At 45.5% G+C, this 17,815-nt stretch overlaps 1 protein-coding gene across 2 annotated transcripts in view; it reads left to right on the top strand.

Annotated features, from left to right (window-relative positions):
* Window positions 1-17,815, top strand: part of GALNT18 (polypeptide N-acetylgalactosaminyltransferase 18) — a 351,129-nt gene that overhangs the window by 281,959 nt on the left and 51,355 nt on the right. For both annotated transcript variants that reach the window (NM_001363464.2, NM_198516.3), the window contains 2 exons: window positions 7,216-7,353; window positions 12,866-12,961. In NM_001363464.2, the coding sequence (NP_001350393.1) occupies window positions 7,216-7,353; window positions 12,866-12,961 (234 nt within the window). The remainder of the gene's footprint in view (window positions 1-7,215; window positions 7,354-12,865; window positions 12,962-17,815) is intronic.

Here is a 17,815-nt window from a genome sequence, read left to right as displayed (position 1 = left end):
TTGCTTATGTTGCATTCTGTGTGAGACAGAGCTATCAGAGCTATTGACTACATGACCTCATTCTTTCCTCCCAAGGCCATGGCAATCCCTTTTGGAGTCCTTTAGGAAGCTTCTAATGGGGAAGTGATTGATCTTCGCTCAAAGTGATCATATGAAAGCCCTGTTACCTAAACTCTACACCAAGCTAATGTTGCTCTGGTTAAATGATTGAGGAAGTTGACTGGTTCATGGGTGGGAGCTTTTAGCCCACCTCCCAGCCACACCACCACCGTAGGAGAGGGGAACTTGAGTTGGGTTGCATACTCCCACAATCAGTGAGGTTTCAGCAGTTGGGAGCAAGAATGAGGAGCGGAGAAATATCAGCCAGAGTGCAGCCAACTCTAATGTACCAGCCCGGGATTGCATTCCTGACAGTAAGAGTGTTTCTGGGGAACTGCATTACCTTCTGGACTCATGGTCAGGATTGAATCACGGTATTCTGCACGGGGTGCCAAGCCCTGTGGTAGGTGTCCTGTGATGGCAAAATATTAAGAACACTTGGAAACTCCCCAGGAGCTCACCAGTGAGGCATAGCAGGTCCCCAGGTTCTGCTTAGGACTGGTGAGTGAGCATACTCTTACTGCCTTCTCTCTGTACCCCAGAGCTGCAAAACTTCTAGCCCTCTCCCCCTTGCAGCTGACAGGTGTTGAAATGCCCAGCAACCCAATGAATGGTAGAGAACTGAGTGAGTGAAAATAATTGAAAAATGATGAAATTCAGTGTCTGTCTGCGACTCCTCAAGGTGGTAGTTCAAATCAAATGGGTAGGGGGAAGTGAACACAAGACAGGTAAGAGGTGGAATTGCCCAGGATAAAGCCTTAGGTGGAGAAGGAAAGGATCAGTGTGTTTCCGAAAATAATTCTCTTTCCTCTCCTGTTCCCTGTGTCCAAATGTCCTCTCCTTCCTCTTATCAAACTTGTACAGAGTCAATATTTCTTCATCTCCCAATCCTTCTCCCAAGCTATATCCTGATACTTCATCAAGACTGCTTTGTCAAGGTCAACATAGGCCTCCCAAATGCTTAATTTAATGGACATTTTAAGGTCTTTAACCTATAGGATTTCACCTTTTCCTTGAATCTCTGTAGCTCCTTGGGTCCATGATTCCACACCCTGGAATCTTATCTCTCTCCATTTATTCCTAACTCTTCAAGGGCTCCTCTTACCTTCACTGGGTGCTTACATGCTCCATGGGGGATCCATCCTTGGCAGACTGCTCTCATTATTCCGCATCTCCCTGGGTAATATCATCTACTCTTGCATTGGACTCCCACCCATATGCTGCCTTCCTAATTAATATCTCTACCCCTGATTTCTGCCTTCACTTTCAGACTCACATCTCCAACTGCCAGCTGGACATCTCCTCTTGGCCATTCCCACAGGCACTCAGAATGACTCTGACCAGCCAAACCCATCTTCTTCCTCCAGATCTGCTCCTGTTCTCATCCTGTCTCAGTTCATGGTGCCACCATCTTCCAGACATATGAGTTTGAAAATGACATCATCCTTCAATCTTCCTCTCTCTCAATGCCCTGTCCCAGTCAATCACAAGCCCTCCTTCCCACCCCGACCTCCCCTCATGTCTGCATTCAGGCCCTGTTTTTTTCTCTGCCACAAGCTTCAGCTGGTTTTCCTGGCTCAAGTCTTTATCTCCTTCAAATCTATCCTCTACAATACCCAAAGTTATCTTTAAAACACTCACAACAACCATGCCATCGCCCTGCTTAAAATCTTTAAATGAGGCCAGGCGCAGTGGCTCATGCCTGTAATGCCAGCACTTTGGGAGGCTGAGGTGGGTGAATCACTTGGGGTCAGGAGTTCAAGAACAGCCTGGCCAACATGGTGAAACCCCATCTCTACTAAAAATACAAAAATTAGCCAGGCTTGGTGGCACATGCCTGTAATCCCAGCTACTCAGGAGGCTGAGGCAAGAGAATCATTTTAACCTGGGAGGCGGAGGTCCCAGTGAGCTGAGATCGTGCCACTGCACTCACTCCAGCCTGGGTGACAGAGCGAGACTGTCTCAAAAAAAAAAAAAAAAAAAAAATCTTTAAATGACTCCTGCTATGTACAAAATCAAGCACAAAGCCCAGTGTTTGGCATGGCATCAAAAGTTCCCATGCTTTCTCCTCTGCCTGTATTTTAACCCCACTGCCTGTATTTTAATCCCACTGCCTACCACTCCCTGTTTTGAAGTCTGCATACGTTGCGTGGACTATGGGAACTGCCCATTACATACCGTCCATGCCATGCTGTTTCTCACACCTCGGTGCTTGTTCATCCTGCTTGGAATTCCCTACCCTCTACCTCTTCCTGTATGACCACCCCTACTAAATCTTCCCCATCCTTTGAGACTCAGCTCCAGGGGTCCCTCCTCTAGAAAGCCAGCTCCAACTGGGGGAAGAGCTCCCCCTCCTAAATATCTCTCTGTCATTGCATGACCAGCCTGTGAAAGAGTGTTCTGTTATCTAAAAGTCTCCCTCTCATTAGAACAGTGGCTTTCAAATCTGGCTGAACTTCAAAATCAGTTGGGTTCCACCCCCACAGATTACCACTTAACTGGTTTGGAAGGGGCCTCTGGGATCTGTTTTTTGGGAAAGTTCTTCAGAACCACTGAGAACCACCACAATACACCATGGGCTCTCTGAGGACAGACTGCTTTATTCATTTTTGTGTCATTATATCTAGCACAAGGCAGGGCGCATGGTAAGAGCTTGGTGACGCCTTGCTAACGCTTATTAATGAGTGAGTTTGCTGGCAGTGTGAGTAATCCCTCTCTCCCTTGGTTAGTGACTCCTAAAAGCAGATCTTCAGACCAACTGCATCAGAATCGCTTGAAGAACTTTTAAAAAAATACTCATCTGGGTCTCATCCTCAGAGAGGATTTTGAGCGGTAGGTGCCAGAATCTACAAAAAGCCCTCCAGATGAGAGTTTAGGGTGGCCAGGTTTGTGTAACACCCATTTAGCTAGTCCTTCTCATTTTTTCAAACCCACAAGTGTTGCTTACTCCAGGAAGCCCTCTTTGACTGTTTACCTCCTCCTTTGCCCCCAATCCTGGCCTCCACACAATGTAAGAAGAATGAGGCCCCTCTTCTATTCTCTCTTTCACTTTCTCTTCTTTCCGTGCCTCACACTTGTTCACAAAGAGTATGTTTACTTGTCTGAAACTCCCAGACTCTCGTTTCAGGCCGAGAGTGTGACATATTCCTATTTGTATACACAGTGTTTACGATAGTGTCTGACACATAATAAACAGGTGCTTGGTAAAGGTCAGTTGGAAAAGAAGGAGGATGCATGGATGCTATATGCTTCACACAGTTTCCCTAGGAGGTTTACCCCCTGCCTCTGAGATAGCTATGCCCCAATCCCTTTTCCTCAGCTGCAAGCACATCTGTTCCCAATTTAACCTTTGGTCTACAGCATCCCAGCTGCAAATATGGAGCTGGAGCCCTTCAACCCTTCCCAGGTGGCTGCCTTGAGAATTAAATAAGTTAATACATGTAAAGACTTTGATCAGTGCTTGGCACACAGCGCTAGGTAAGTGTTAACTCTTGTCGGTGATGTGATCGTTTATGCCCTGTACTTTCCTTCCACAGTTTTCAAATGTTCATGCTGGACAGACATCCTCTGCTTGTTGCCTTCTAAGCTGAGGCCTCCTCGGAACTGTGAACTGAGCAGAACTGGCCCTCTCACCTGCTCCCTTAGCAGGTCCAGTCCCCAACTTTTGAAAGGTCGAAGAGCCTCCACCTCTTGCATCCTGCTACTTTAATTGAAAATCAGTTTGTTTATCAATAAACAGAAAGTCAGTCTGCAGCAAAACATCAATATTTTCTTAAGCAGGGTTCAGGAGCTCTAGACTGCTTCTCTTGCCCAAAGACAGGCTGAGTGCCAGGGATGGCTTGTCATGTGCTTCAGTGATAGCCCTCCTTTAAGTCTGGCTACAAGGAATTTTGTGACTATGTGGCTGCAATACTGGGCACTTTTTATGTGGCTAAGTTAATATATTTGTTTCCTAGGGCTATGGTAACAAATTACCATGAATTTGGTGGCTTCAAACAACAGAAATTTATTCTCTCCCAGTTCTGGAAGCCAGAAGTCTAACATTCAGGTGCCAGCAGAGCTGTGCTCCCTCCAGCATCTCGAGGGGAGAGTCCTTCCTTGCCTCAGCCAGCTTCTGGTGGCCCTGAGGGGGTCCCTGGTTGTGGATGTATCACCTTAGTCTCAGCCTCTGTCTTCACATGGCCTTCTCCTCTTTGTCTCTATGTGTGTCCAGACCATTCTTTTTCCTCTTATAAAGATATCAGTCATTTTAGTCATATATAGTCACATACAGTCATAATTTAGGCAAGCCCCAAACGCAGGATGATTTCATTTTGAGATCCTGAATTAATTATATCTGCAAAGACCCTGGTTCCAAATTAAGTCCCATTTAGAGGTTCTGGGTAGACATGAATTTTAGAGGAGGCCACAATTCAACTCACTACACCAAGTATTTGGCAAAAGAGGAAGATGCATTTATTGTTTTCTAATAAGGGCCAAGGTGACCTTCTCAGAGAAGGTTTACTTTCTTCTCAATATATGCCTCCTGCTTTGAAGATGGGTTTGATGAAATTTATAGTAAACACACAGGGCAGATATGCTGAACTATTAAAATGGAAAGGCAAAAGTCAATTAATACACAGGAAGGGGAAGGGGACTTGATATTCAGAAAGATAAGCTGAACAAAGGGCTAGTTCTTGAGCTTCCTAGCAGGAGATGGCCACCTGGTGGATTGTACCTCTCTCATCTTTTACTCGATCGTATGGAGGGAGGCAAACTTTGCCCTGTTCCTAAGTGCAGAAAGAAACTTTTCCTGTGGGAACCCAGAAGTTTAGGAAAACACAGAGGCCTTTGTGAGACAGGTTCTTCTACTGGCTCCCTATAAAACAGACACAGTGTTAAATTTAGTCACATAAAGACAATTATAACATGAAGGGAGAAGGAATGAATGGGTCCTGGGACACAGTTTTCTGATATAAGGATAAAGTACCATGGAGTGTGAAGGGTTAATACTTAATGAATGCTTTAGGGTCGGAGTGGAAGGTAGATTACATCTACTGCCAGTTCCTGTGTTCACCACTTCATAAATATTTTCTTCACCCAGCAGAGTAGCTCATGCTCAGTGCTAGGCCTGGGGGCACAGAGGTGAGTCTGATGGAAGTTTCCTGACCTTAAGGAGCCGGAGTCCAGCAGAGAAAGGCTAGGATAACAGTTGCAGAGAAGGCTCTGGGCAGGAGTGTGCAGCAGACAAGTCACGGATGAGGTCATTAAGAAGTACTAGGAAGCTGAAATAGCTCCTTGTCGTTCTAGAACTTTAACCTTCAGGCTGTAGCAGGTTCAAATTTTTATATTGCCTGAACTCTTGTGGGCAAAAAGGAATCTATCTCTTTTATATCTAAATTGTGTTTTTTGGTTTTTTTTTTTTGGAGACGGAGTCTTGCTCTGTCGCCCAGGCTGGAGTGCAATGGTGCGATCTCGGCTCACTGCAAGCTCCACCTCCTGGGTTCACACCATTCTCCTGCCTCAGCCTCCCATGTAGCTGGGACTACAGGCGCCCGCCACCATGCCCGGCTAATTTTTTTGTATTTTTAGTAGAGACGGGGTTTCACCATGTTCGGCAGGATGGTCTCAAACTCCTGACCTTGTGATCCGCCTGACTTGGCCTCCCAAAGTGCTGGGATTACAGGTGTGAGCCACTGCGCCTGGCCCCTAAATTGTGTTTTCACTCAAGCCCACATTGTCTGATGTCAAAAATTTGCCCTGTTTGTGTCCAGATAAATGCAGCCATTTTTGTGATCTTTCTCAGATATTTTAGACAAAATCTGCCCAACCTCAGTAACTCAATCCCTGGAGTTGATGTTTGAACCAGGGATTCACAAAGAGAGCATATGGACCACAGTGTCGGTGAGAGAGAGTTCCACTTCTTCATCTGCCCTCCACTCTGGGCTGGCATCTTATGGGATGCCACATGCCCCATCTGCTTGCTGGCCTTCATCCCTGCCATGGTGTCATCCTCTGAGATGCACTGGGTCTTCTTCAGATCCCCAGAGGATGGACCCCTCGGCAGCCTCTGCTTTTGCATCAGCTTTTTCTCAGCCAATTCTGTGCCCCATTCAACAGCGGGTATGCAGGCCAAGGAATTCTTAGTGCTGCCCAACTCTGCTCTACAAGAAATATGAGGAAGGGGGCTTCTCTAGCCTTCTCACTCCTGGACACAATCATGTGTCACTTCTGCTCCCTGGCTGCTGCACCGTGGTGGCTCAGGAGCCACCTCTCTGATGCTCCTGAGAAAGGAGGGAAACAAGTACTCTAGATGCCAAGACTCCCAGGCTTAAAGAGAGTCTGCTTCTCCTGCAAGGACTTGGTCCGAGGAGGCAGAAGGGTGGGATCTTCCAAACACGTAGAGTAACGTTAAAAGCAGAAACTCTAGACCCAGGTTAATTGGGTTCAAATCTCAGCTCCACCGTTTATTAGTTGTGGAGTCTTGGGCAAGTTACCAAGGAGGTTACTGAACCTCTCTTTGTCTCAACTCATCATCCGTAAAGGAGGATTATGTAGTGCTACTTTATAAGTATGAGTGGGACAAAATACATACGTATAAATAGAAGTAAATAAATATATATATTGCATGTCTCATTCAGAATACAGCCTAGCACTTTGGAAATGTTTAAACCTTAGCTGTTACGATTCTTAGGAATAGTATTATTAATACTATAGAATTAGCATCATTTCATCTCAATGCTTTTTCCTTCCCCCCTCTCTCTCACCTTAAAGCTCAGAATCTCTCATCTTGCCTCTTGAGGTAGGGAAAAGCTTTATTCAGATGGATTCTTCCCATTTCTTTCATCTACACCCAGACTATAGCTTTTTTTTTTTTTCTTTAAGGATTTGGCATCTTTTTTTTCAATGGCCCTTGATGACAAGGCCCGGCAATGCTGACCTCGTGTTTCGTAGTCTAAATGAGGATGGTTACGGGGTTAAGGTACCCGTGGGAAAATGCAAGAGTTAACGTGCCACATGGTCCCTTCCCCAGTCTCTAGGAATCTTGTTGGGGGCACAAGGTCATGCCAAAGTAGAGTTTGGGGAGAAGCTGCAACCTGGGAGTGGCTTCATCTCTGCTTCTGCGTCCCTGTGCAGGACTCAGGAATTGACATTGGGGACATCACTGCAAGGAAGGCTCTCAGGAAACAGCTGCAGTGCAAGACCTTCCGGTGGTACCTGGTCAGCGTGTACCCAGAGATGAGGATGTACTCCGACATCATTGCCTATGGAGTGGTAAGGAGCTGGCCTCCTCCGGGTTTCATTCAGACACAGACAGAAAGAAACATAGTGAAGAAAGGGAGAGGAGGGAAAGAGCCTCTCAGCTGCTCACATGAAGAACTGCAGTAGGCCTGGGGACCGGGCGCTGGGTTCTGCACCTGCAAGACAGCCTTTACTTTTACAGCCCAAACCCCTCCAGTCCCTTGAGAGAGGTACTTGTCTCTCCTTTATAGTCCTAAGCAATTCAGCTCTGGCCCCACACCTGCATATTCCGCTTAATAAAACACATAATAAAGCAGTTAGCTTAAGATTAAAAGGTAAGGTAACAAACACCTGCTGTTCTCCCAGCTGGGGTGCCTGAGGGTCTATGAGTCACCCTGTGTGCCTCCCTGACCAAGGAGCTAATGCCTCCCACTCGCATGCAGAGCCTCCCTGAGAAGAGTTCTAGAGACAGAGCCATCTTGAATTTATTTTATTTGCTGTATTTTTAGTACTGCTTGTTGATGGGCACAGAGAAGTTCTCCCTGATGGGAGGGAGAAAGATGGAGGGGGCAGAGCATAGGGTTTGGAGTTAGACAGACCTGGTTCAAATCTTAACCAGGCTGCTTCCCAGGTAAGTGTCTTAATGTCATGGGCCTCAGTTTCTTCACCTGTTAAATGGGGGTAATTCAATACTATCCCCGTAGAGTAAAAGAAAATCTAAGATTTGTAGATATGTAACCTTAGACAGAAAATGTATTTTCTGTCTAAGGTTAAAATACTTCGAATATGATAAACTCTCCCATTTTCTCAATATTCCCTGGACCGTACAGGTCAAATGCCGTAAGGTATTTTAAATGGTATTTTGATTGATTTTTGGCTATCTCGCCTGGCTTTTGCTGACTTACAGTCTAAACACATAAACTTTTGCCATGACAAACCCCCAAGACTACTCTGTGTAGGATTAGCTATATTATCTCCATGTCACAGGTGGGGAAACAGAGTCAAAGAGTGATTTTTCACAAGCTCACATAATCAGCAGTGAAACCAAGTCTAAAAAACCAGCTTCTGGTGTCACTCTGATTCCTCCCTTTGGAGAGTGTCCCCTCAGACCTTTTTTGATATCTCAAGATGAAAACTTGAAGGAAGAACTGAAGTCTCTTCTTTTGATTAGCTGTGGTTAAAGCTGAGTTCAAAGCCTGCCCCAGATGGGAATGTAGTGAACAGGACAATTGCCTATAAGCGGGAAGAATCTGCTGAGAAATTGGGCTCAGTGCTCCCTATGTGCCCCCCAACTCTTATATCATATACATCCTAGGATTCCAAAGCAGACAGAATTGGAATCCTAGACCCATGCCCTCTACCCCCAGGGTCTCTGTTAGCCAGAAGGCCAGATTGTAGGAGACAGTGTTATCCTCCCATGAGTGTCCCCATGGCATGGTTGACATATCCCAAGAGAACCATGCAGTGACCTCTCACCTCTCCACCTCTCAGGCTGGTGCAATTCACATCTCTGCAAACACCTCAGCCAGTGCTGCTCAGGTAGTACCTGAGTCTCCAGATCCTGTTGTCCCCATGGAAACACATTGCACTGTAAGGTGCCTATCTGTCCCATTCACCTCCCCAGAACCATCCTGAGGACACAGCTGCCTTTGATGCCCCACACTCCACCCATAGCAAGCTATGTATGCTGCTTGGCCATGGGTGAACCCAATCCTAAAAGGAGAGTTACGCTGCTGTGGCTCCAGAGAAACTATTGGCCCCAAGCCTCTGTGAGCCAGGGCAAGCTTCTGGATTCATGTTCTCAGCAGGCTGTCAGCTGTGGCTGAGCAGGATTAGCCAAACTCACCCAGAGAGGCAGGAGAAGCAGTAACAGTAGAGGTGTGTACATGTGGCCACTGCAATTCTGGGTCTTGGCCAAAGGCATTCTCATCCTCCAAGCAAAAGCATCTCATCTTATACATGTGTGCAACAGGTTTAACATGTAGGCCCTCCATGCCATCCCCAGAAACATTTGGTTTGTCAAATACTAAGTGGCAAATACAGGGTTGTGATCTAGATCTGTCTGAGTCCAGAGCTGGGCCTGTGTTTACTGTCATACTGAAAACCATTCACTTGCCATCCCAAAGGGCTGAGCTGTGTTAGCCATCCCTGCAGCTGGCAGAGGGCTCTGACCCCCTACACATTCATCAGCCCACCACTGCTCAGGGCCCAGCCAGCCTCCCCTCCCTCCTGCCTTCTCCACGGGACAAGCCCCTACATAAGCAGAGACACGTCTGCTTGTCAAAGAGCATAATGAACTCTTAATGGGGGCAACTGGCTGAAGATGGGCAAAGTGGGATGCAGCCACAATAGCAAGAGTATTTGCTGGGTCTGAATCATTCTTCCTGGTAATTATTTTTATCCTAAAATGAAGAGACCAGATGTCTTTTCAGGGGCATAATTTCTTTTTCCTTTTTCTGTTCCAACTCATGCCCAAATGACATTGTTCAGGACAAATGACTTCTGGGACTCTGAGTCGAGCCAGTATCAAGTCTATAGCCCAGCCCATTAATCCACTAATAGGTCCCATTAATGACTCCTGCAGGCCTAAGGACCTGTGGGCCCCATCGTGTGGGCATAAGTTTCCCCTGGATCATTGAGCTTCATGTCCAGGAGATGGGGTAGCATTGGATTAATCACAGCTCTGGTGCTGAGAGTAGAGATGGAGGGGCATCTGGAAACAGACATGCCTGGCTTCTGAATGTTAGCTTTGCCCCTTAATGGCTAGGCTATGTAAACTTGACAATGTGCAAAACCTTAGTGGTCACAGTAATGCCATTTCATAGGGCATATGTTACAGCCTCAGGATTATAGCCATTTGCACTACGGAAAGAGCTTGGGTTTTGGAGTCTGACAGACCAGCTCTTTCACTTGTCCGACTATGATTCCATTCATTTGGGAATGCCAGTCATTTACGCATGTTTTTCATGTACCCACTCACTCACCCACTCCACGAGTGTTGACTGTCTCCTTTGTGCCTGGCCTGTATGATATACAGTGAGACTGAGACCCAGTCTGATGACTAACAGGGCAGACAAGTGAAGAAGGAACAAGAATGCAACCTGCTAAGTGCTACCCTGAGAAATGGGGTGCTAGTGAAGCACAGGAATGTGGTCTCATACCAGACTTGGGTCGGGAAAGGCTTCCAGAGTGGCAGATAAGCTGAGAGCCAAGGGAAGAGGCAAAGAGGAGGCCAAGACCAAGGGCGATATGGGGAAGTGTCCACACAGGCTGAATAGCACTATAGACAGGGAGGAGAGTGGAGCTTGTTACTACACCACAGTTCCTTCATCCTTAAAAGAGATAATATCTCTGGGCTGGCTAGTCATTATGAGAATTAGGTGAGACATATGTGGAAAGCACTTCACATGGTACCTGACACATAGATGCATTCCTAAAAGCTGGTTTCCCTGAATGGCTTTGAGGAAGGTTACAGCAATAATAATAGCAGCCAACAATTATTGCAACATTTGTTATTTGCCAGGCCTTATGCTAAGCACTTGTAGACATTGTTTCACTTAATCCTCATAACAGCCTTATGAGGTAGGCACTATTATTATTCCTATTTTAGAGGGAAGAAAACAAACAAGGAGTTACATTGCTTTATTCAAGACCCCTCAGCTGGAGCCAGGTTTCCATCCCAGCCTGTTGCTTCTAGCTCCTTCAGTGGACTACCTGCCTAAGGGATGGTGGGGGGTGGGGGAAGGAATGGCACAGAGCCAGGGAGGACTTTATCAAAAGACACCCACCCTCTCACCCAAGCACTGGCATTAAGAACCCAGGGGAAAGCCAAGTCTAATATCAGGGCTCTCCAGGCCTTCCTCTTTGCAACAGCAGTTAGCAGATTTTCCTAGTGGGTTACAGTGCTTGGCTTTAGATATGACACCCACCTCTTCATGGGCTGTAGGACAAGAACAAAGTGTGTTTACATATGCTCTTCCCACTAAGGTAAACCAAGGAATTGGTTTATAATGGAGGATTTGCTGCAGAAATGCTACTGGGGGCTCTGCCTGAGACACACATTCATGCAATATTTCTTCAGAATCCCTGAACTGCAAGTTTGGGATTAAGGTGCTACCATCCAGTAGAGGAAAGGAAGCTCAAAAGAAAAGAATTCAACTCTGTTCCTTGTCCCCTGTTAGGAACAGGGTATGCATGGAGCACACGTGGGCCTCTGGTTATCGGCTCCATCTCATGCCTCTTCATTGGCTTCATTTTGCTCCTGCCACAAACCATCAGGAGTACAAAGGCCCTGCTGCTGTCTCTGGCCTCCCCGCAGATAGATAGCCTCCCTGTGGCCTCTTTCCTTGTCTTCCCTGGATTCTGATCTCCAGTCCCCTGTTCTAGGCAGAGTGTTTTGATTGCTAAGGAGAGAACCTAGTCAAGCCAGCTCAAGTTAAGGTGAGGGGGGTAAAGGTACCACAGACTCTTACAGGAGTAGGAAGTGAAATGCAGCTGGACATGGGTACTCCAGCAGGGAAGCCACTGAAGCCGCTGCAGGGGCAAGATGGTCTCTTTTGTCTCTCATTCTGTCTGCCTCGTGCATCATCATATCCTTGATCACAACTGACTTTCTCTGCTTGCACATGGCCATGGCCAACAGAACCCCCCATGCCCAGTTTAAACAGCCTTACAATTCTAGTGGCCACCACCCACTGATCACAGTCTCTGGGTTCTGTTTAGGTTCCTAAGACAGGATAAGAGAGTAATGAGATGGGGAGGAGAGAGAGGCAGAGAAAGAGAGTGATTAATTCTGAAGCGTGGGTTGGTGCCCACCATGGTCCACTCAGTTGTGGCCGGTGAGCAGGGCCATGAGGTCTATGGGCTGCCCTTCCAAGGGCTGAGAGTGGCTGTAAGCAAGAAAGTAACATTGAATATAAGCTGTCTTACCCAGACATGTGTTAATTGCCAAGACTGGATCCATCCACCTGTAGGTGAGGATAAGAGATGCTGCTCTCTTCTCCTGCTCCCACCCTGGCCCCCTCCTCTCTTATTCTCCCATCCGACCTCCCACTCTGGAAGACCCTAAGCAGTGGGCCACCAAGGGGCTGGCCAAGCCACTGCTGGGTCTGCAGGAGGCAGAGAGCGTCTGGTCCCAGGGGACCTCTGAGGCCTGAAAATAGCTAAGATGTTGCCCATTTCCCCCAACACTAAAGAGCAAAGATTTCTCTCAGGGACACTTGAAGGCTGTTGTCCCACCCCTGAGGAAGTGGAGGGGCTGAAGAACAAGCACCATCTTGTGTGTGCACACGCATGCACATCTCCTGTAACCCAGCTCACTGTTTAATGACATGTAAGTGTTTCTCCTGCAAAGGAGGCTGGTCTCCCCTCAGCACCTTTACGCAAGGCAAAAGCTGGTGCTTGTTGGTTCTATAGTGTTCAAGGGCCTTGGGCTGATTATGGACATGAAATCTGTCTCAGCAGAATACTTGTTTCTCCAGAGTTAATTCATTTGCTCTCTCTGTTCCTCTCTCTTTGGTGTGGCCATCTGTTCTCTGATGTTCAGCTGCAGAATTCTCTGAAGACTGATTTGTGTCTTGACCAGGGGCCAGATACAGAGAATGTCCCCATCATGTACATCTGCCATGGGATGACGCCTCAGGTGAGTCCTCTAAGAGATTCCTGTGCCAGGAGTGTGCATATGAGTGCCTGGCATGGGGAAGGAGAGCTAGGCTCTGTCATGGGGAAGGAGAGCTAGGCTCTGTCATGGCAGCTCTGGGACCAGGGGCCTCTGGGGCTTTTCATTAGGGCACATCCTCATGAGCTGAAGAGGATGGGTCACACCTGCCTTGCCTGGAAGGAAGCTGAGGGAGTGGATGCTATGACTCCAGGATCCTCCAGGATGATGAGGAGGAAAGGGGTTACACTTCTAAAGAGAAACACCTGCTTCCTTTGTGGAAACTATGGGTACATCACAGTTCTGGCTCTGACAACCAAGCTGCTCCCTAGCAAGAGTGGGAGGTTCTCCCAAGCTCCCTGAAATGTCAGAGTCCCTTCAGAGTACCATGGCATGGTCTTCAGCTCGGCCCTTTAGTAGATCATAGCTGGGGCCAAAATTTATAGCCATGGTCCTTCTTTCCAGCTCTTCTTCTGACCTTCTTCTGGTGGAGAATGAAGGGCAGCTACCAGGAAAATAAGTTATTCTTACAAATTCCCCATTCATAGTCTAAGCTTCAGATACTCAAAGAGGATGCCAAGACACAGGCAAGATAAATGGTTCGTTGAACAAAGTACAGCAGACAACCCTTGACCAAGAATGTCATAGGCTGACCTGTTCTGAATTGATAACATTCCCAGAGTTTACTTATCTCCAGAAGTACACAATGATTTAAAAAGATGTTTTAGGCCAGGCACGGTGGCTCACACCTGTAATCTCAGCAGTTTGGGAGGCCAAGGTGGGTGGATCACGAGTTCAGGAGATCGAGACCATCTTGGCTAACACGGTGAAACCCCATCTCTACTAAAAATACAAAAAATTAGCCAGGTGTGGTGGCGGGCGCCTGTAGTCCCAGCTACTCAGGAGGCTGACGCAGGAGAATGGCGTGAACCCGGGAGGCAGAGCTTGCAGTGAGCTGAGATCGCACTACTGCAGTCCGGCCTGGGCGACAGAGCGAGATTCCGTCTCAAAAAAAAAAAAAAAAAAAAAGATATTTAGCATGTAAGATATGCCTATGTGTGCAATTACAATTAAAAGAGGGTTTAAAAGAGCTATTGCCTACCGAAACACACAACTGAAGGACATCATGACGTGTATGTCACTCTGTGTGTGAATGCTGAGCCTTCCCAGGGATTGTCCATTGCGACCTCTACCATCTTGTCCTTTTTGGGGACTGAGTTGCTGTGACATTACTGGCTGGTTAATTGCAGGCCAGCAAATCAGGTTGTGCTCACACAACCCAGTATGGCAACACGTTCCTCATTGTTAACAATGGTGTGGCATTTTTAATGAGTGACTATCTTTTTAAACATTGTATTGAAGTAAAACATATATAGAGGGAATAAATGAATTGTAAGTGTACAGCTTAATCAATTTCCAGAGTGAATACACCCAGATCAAAAATAAGAGTATTGCTGCCTGATTTTGAATTCTACATAAATAGGACTATATAATATATATTTTCTTATGTTGACTTCTTTCATAATTATATTTTTTTAATTTTTATTTTTATTTCAATGGTTTTTGAGATTCAGGTGGTTTTTGGTTACATGGATACTTGGATAAGTTCTTTAGTGGTGATTGCTGAAATTTTAGTACACCCGTCACCCAAGCCGTGTACACTGTACCCAGTATGTACTCTTTTATTCCTCACCCCTCCTCCCAACCTTCCCTGCTAAGTCCCCAAAATCCATTATGTCATTCTTATGCCTTTGCATCCTCATAGCTTAGCTCCCACTTATATGAAAGTGAAAACGTACGATATTTGGTTTTTCATTCCTGGATTACTTCACTTAGAATAATGGCCTCCAGCTTCATCCAAGTTACTGCAAAAGACATTATTTTATTTCTTTTTGTGGCTGATTAGTATTCCATGATGAATATATACCACATTTTCTTTATCCACTCGTTGGCTGATGGGCACTCAGGTTGGTTCCCTATTTTTACAATTGTGAATTGTGCTGCTATAAACATGCATGTGCATGCATCTTTTTCATATAATGACTTCTTTTCCTTTGGGTAGATACCCAGTAGTGGGATTGCTGGATCAAATGGTAGTTCTACTTTCAGTTCTTGAAGGAATATCCATACTGTTTTCCATAGTGGTTGTACTAATTTATATTCCCACCAGCAGTGTAAAAGTGTTCCACACAGCAAAAGAAATCATTAAACAGACAACCCACAGTGTGGGAGAAAATATTCACAAACTATGCATCCAACAAAGGATAAATATCCAGAATCTACAAGGAACTCAACAGATCAGCAAGAAAAAAAAAACACATACTCTCATCAAAAAGCCAAAGGACATGAATAGACAATTCTCAAAAGAAATATACAAACAGCTAACAAACATATGAAAAAATGCTCTACATCACTAATCATCAGGGAAATGCAAATTAAAACAACAATGAGATACCACCTTACTCCTTCAAGAATGGCCTAATTAAAAAGTCAAAAACCAATAGATGTTGGCATGGATGTGGTGAAAAGGGAACACTTTCATCATTACATTTCTGAGATACATCCCTGCTATTACCTGTAGTTGTAATTTGTTCATTTTTACTACTATGTAGTATTCCATTTTACAAATATACTATAATTCATGATCTATTCAACTGCTGATGGACACTTGGACTATGGCCAGTTTGGAAGTATCATGAATACTGCTGCTATGAACAACCTTGATCATGTCGTTTGGTGTACATATATGCTCACTTCTTTTGGTTTTATGCCCAGGAGCAGAATTCCTGAGTCATAGGGTTGAAATATGTTCAGTTTAGTAGACATTGCCTGCATTAGTCTGCTCAGGTTGCCAAAACAAAATATCACAGGCCTTAAACCACATAAACTTATTTTCTCACAGTTCTGGAGGCTGGGAAGCCCAAGATCAGAGTGCTGGCCTATTCAGTTTCTGGTGAGGGCTCCTTTCTTGTCTTGAAGATGGCCACCTTCTTGCTGTGTCCTCACATGGGAAAGACAGACAGCACACAACAATGAGCTCTCTGGTGTCTATTCTTATAAGGATGCTAATCCTATCAGGTCAGGGCTGTATCCCTGTGACCTCACTTAACCTTAACTTAAAGATCTGAAGAATTATCAGCCTATCCATGTTGCAAAAAACTGAGAAAGCTCTTTCTGAAAAAAACACTAAGGTGTGGCTCATGATAAAGAGAACATGAGTTTGACTTAGGTGGACTTTGCCAGTCATTTCAACAGAAGCCAGGAATACAGATGAAATTACACCTGTAGAGAGACTGCCAGTTTGAACTAAAGGGGACAGAGAAAGTGGGATAGAATGAAAGAATGCTATTGGACTTGGAGTACATAGGACCATAGGGACCATAGAGCTATTTGGCTGTGAATGTGCTCTATTCCTCAAGAAAAGGAAGAATGATGCAAAAGGCATTTTTAGGGATCATCAGGGCTGCCACTCCCACCACAAGACCAGGAGAAGGGCTGGTGCCCTGTCTAGCCTAAGGGCCAGGGCCACCCCACACAGCCACGGTAGTGATGCTGGCACCCCAGTGGACCTGGAGGGCAGAGCATTGAGCCAAAGAGGGTTATTCTTGAGCCTTAAGAGCTAATGGAATTTGACTTGCTGAGATTTTGAACTTGCTTGGGACTCATCACTCTCCTTCATTCTGATTTCTCCTTCTGGAATGAGAATATCTATTCTATGCCTTTCCCACAGTTGTGTTTTGGAACCACATGACTTATCTAATTCCACAGGCTCACATTCGAAGAGAAATTTTGCCTTGGGATGAATTGTACTTGGAGTCTCATTTACCTGCTGTAGAGGATATTTAGATGAGACTTTGGACTTTAGAGTTGATGTTAGAATGAGTTAAGACCTTTGGGGCTGTTGGGATGGAATGATGTATTTTGCATGCCTTAAAAACATGCATTTGAGGAAGCCAGGGGCAGAATGTTATGGACTGCATTGTGCCCCTCCTTGAAAATCATATGTTGAAACCCTGACCCTGGTAGTATTTCAAGTGAGGAAGTAATTAAAGTCAAGTCAGGTCATAAGGGTGGTGCCCTAATCTGATAGGATTAGTGTCCTTATAAGAGCAGACATCAAAGAGCCTGATCACTAGCTTTCTTTTCTCTCTGCCATGAAAGACACAGTGATACAGCAGCTGTCTGCAAGCCAGGAAGTAGTTCCTAAGCAGAAACTAAATTGACCAGCATCTTGATCTTGGACTTCCCAGCCTCCAGAACTGTGAGAAAATAAATTTGTTATTTATGCCACCTAGTCTGTGGCACTTTGTGACAGCCTGAGCCAACTAATAAACTGCCAAACAATTTTCCAAAATTGTTGTACCAATTTTTACTTCTCCCAGCTTTATATTAGAGTTCTAGTTGCTCTACATCCTTGCCAACATTTGGTATTACCCATATTTTTAATTATAGCCATTGTAGTGGGTGTATAGTACTATCACTCTGTGGTTTTAATTTGCAGTTCTCTGATTATTAATGAAGTCGGGCACCTGGGTTTTCAGCACAGAATGTCTTCATGTTATCCTTGAATGTGGGCCAAGGTAGCCAGGTCACAAGTAGTTGGTCTTTCTGTAAATTCTTGCTCTGCTTTCTGACACCTGTGATCTTATCTGGACCATTGGACAAATGTTGAATGTTTTGTCTGTGTGATGGTAGATGTTGGCCTGAGCAGAGGCTGCCAGTTCTCTACCAACTGCAGATGATACAATATGGGACAGTATCTGTTATACTTACAGTGTGGATTCTGGAGCCAGATTGCCTGAATCTAAATACCAGCTTTGAGCCTTTCTAGTTGTAAAA

Source organism: Homo sapiens, chromosome 11 (genome assembly GCF_000001405.40).
Source record: "Homo sapiens chromosome 11, GRCh38.p14 Primary Assembly".
NCBI classification, from domain to species: Eukaryota; Metazoa; Chordata; class Mammalia; order Primates; family Hominidae; genus Homo; species Homo sapiens.
The sequence above is the reverse complement of the archived record's forward strand: the minus strand, read 5'-3'. Positions and strand labels throughout refer to the sequence as shown.